Source organism: Homo sapiens, chromosome 1 (assembly GCF_000001405.40).
Source record: "Homo sapiens chromosome 1, GRCh38.p14 Primary Assembly".
NCBI lineage: Eukaryota > Metazoa > Chordata > Mammalia > Primates > Hominidae > Homo > Homo sapiens.
In genome coordinates this window covers 83,508,192-83,510,221 of record NC_000001.11, presented here as the reverse complement: position 1 = coordinate 83,510,221, position 2,030 = coordinate 83,508,192, and the positions used below count along the sequence as shown (strand labels likewise).

The following is a 2,030-nucleotide window of genomic DNA, read 5'->3' as shown; positions in this document are numbered from 1 at the left end:
GCTTCTAAGAGGTACATTAATTTATTGTATATCCCTATCAAGACATTATCTAGCTTGTGCTTGAACTCCTCTATCAATGTTTATGGCCTCCAAAGATATTTCATTCCATTTTTGGAAGGTTTTATTAGTAAGAAAGTTTTCCCTTGTACGGAATAGATTTTTTTTTGCTTACCTTTAACATATTATCTAACCTGAAGATCTACAGAATAAATCAGCTCTCTCCTTCATATAACAGATGTTTAAGTATTTGAAGACATCTAGCAGGACTTGATAGCCTTCTTACCTTTTGGGCACCATTTGTTAGCTCTTTCAACTATACCACTTAGGCCATAGTTTCCTAAAATGTTTCCATCCTTGTGGTTGTTTTTCTGCACGTGCTTCAGTTTATTAGTGCTTCTTGCAACGTATGCTTAGCAAGAAATACTATTCTTGAGGCACAATTCAGAAACACGAAAAGAGATAGCAATATGTTCCTTGGCTCTGGACATTAGAATTCAGTTTGTGCAATTTAAGATAACTTATTAACTTGTTTTGGCATCTCATGACAGAGTTAATTTGTTTTGGGTTTGTACTTAACTACAACTAATTGCTGAAGCACTGTTGGATTCTTCACTCTGGTTGTGTTTTTAAGAAGTTTTGATACAATTAGCCTTACTAGGCTTGTCAGTGACTCCCTAATTATCACATTATAATATATCACTAGAAACCATCTGAAGTCTTGCAAGGCATTGGTCATGGAAAGCATGAACATAAAATTTATCATCCAAACTTGGACTCTTTTGGGAGTAGAAGAGGGTGCTATTAATAATTACTCCAGTGTAAATAGAAACTGACCCAGCCAAGGTCCCAGACTGTGGAAGGATTAGAAGTGGTGTTTATGCATACCTCAATCTAAACTAGAATGGAGTTAAATTTATCGGTTTGAAAACTTCTGTTAACTATGAAGTTAGAAATCACAACTGTTTGACTTTATTTACTTAATTGTCGTTCGTTAATTTAATAGAACTATTTTAGCTTTTTTCCTCTCAATTCTGTCCTTTTCCTATGGGTGGACTTAAAGTATGCTTTATTTGACCCAGATTCCAGGTTGGCTACCACTTATTCTTCAGAGAGAAATACACTCCAAGCTAGCACCTCTGGTTTCTAGCAAGCTTTGCCAGACATCCCTCTTTCCCTGGCAGTTACCTCATGGGGTGTTTTTCCTCTCCTGTGAAATAGTCTGGCCAGTTGAAGTTACTGGGCAAGCATTTAATTAGCAACCATCAGCTGAATGCTGTGCAAGTAGGCTCCACCCATGGTCTCTAAGCTAAAGATCTGAAGAATTCCAAATCTTTCTACAATTCCCTTTGGGTGCAACAAGGAAGAGCCTTCAGGCTAACAGCCAACTTGTCCTCATCTCAACTCAATGCTCATCAGCCATTTGGGAACAGGCAGTTTTAAAACAAAACAAACAAAAAGCGCAATTCAACCTTTCTTCCAAATAAACTTTGTAAAGTATCAGATAAAAAAGAAATGTGTGTGTGCATGTGTGGGCTTTCTTTTTTTTTTGTCTTGTAACTTTCTTCTCTGGATGCTGCATATGAGCTATTTCCTGCCTTGTGGTCAGAGCCAGACTCCAGACTTGCACGAAATCTCAGAGTTTAAAAAGAGACTTGCTTTTGGGTGGAGTTGAGAGTTCGGGGAAGGGAAGTGAGGAGTAAGAATAGCTTTGAAGTCAGATACCTGTCTTCCTGATTCTGCTTGGTATTTTGCAGCAGTCTTACTAATAGTAATTATCTTCTGAAAACGTGTTTATAAGAGGTAAGCTAGATTTGCAGATAACTTTCGAATTAAAATTCATAAAAATGTTGCACAAAAATGTAATTTGTTCCACACCGTGGAAAGTAATATCCTGATTCCCTTTCTCTTCCTTGGCACTCCGAAGACATCAAGGAAACCACATGACCTCCATAATCTCCTCAAATCCTGTTTCTGAGGCCATGGAGACACATATCACAAAAGATTTAAACATTGAACACTAATGCTTTTAC

The 2,030-nt window shown here is 37.3% G+C and overlaps 1 annotated feature.

The window, feature by feature from the left end:
- Positions 1,560 to 1,719: an enhancer, noted in NCBI's record as "active region_1244". NCBI's record gives its function as "activates an Ori minimal core promoter by ATAC-STARR-seq in GM12878 lymphoblastoid cells {active_cell/tissue: GM12878}" and the evidence as "EXISTENCE:reporter gene assay evidence [ECO:0000049][PMID:35858748]".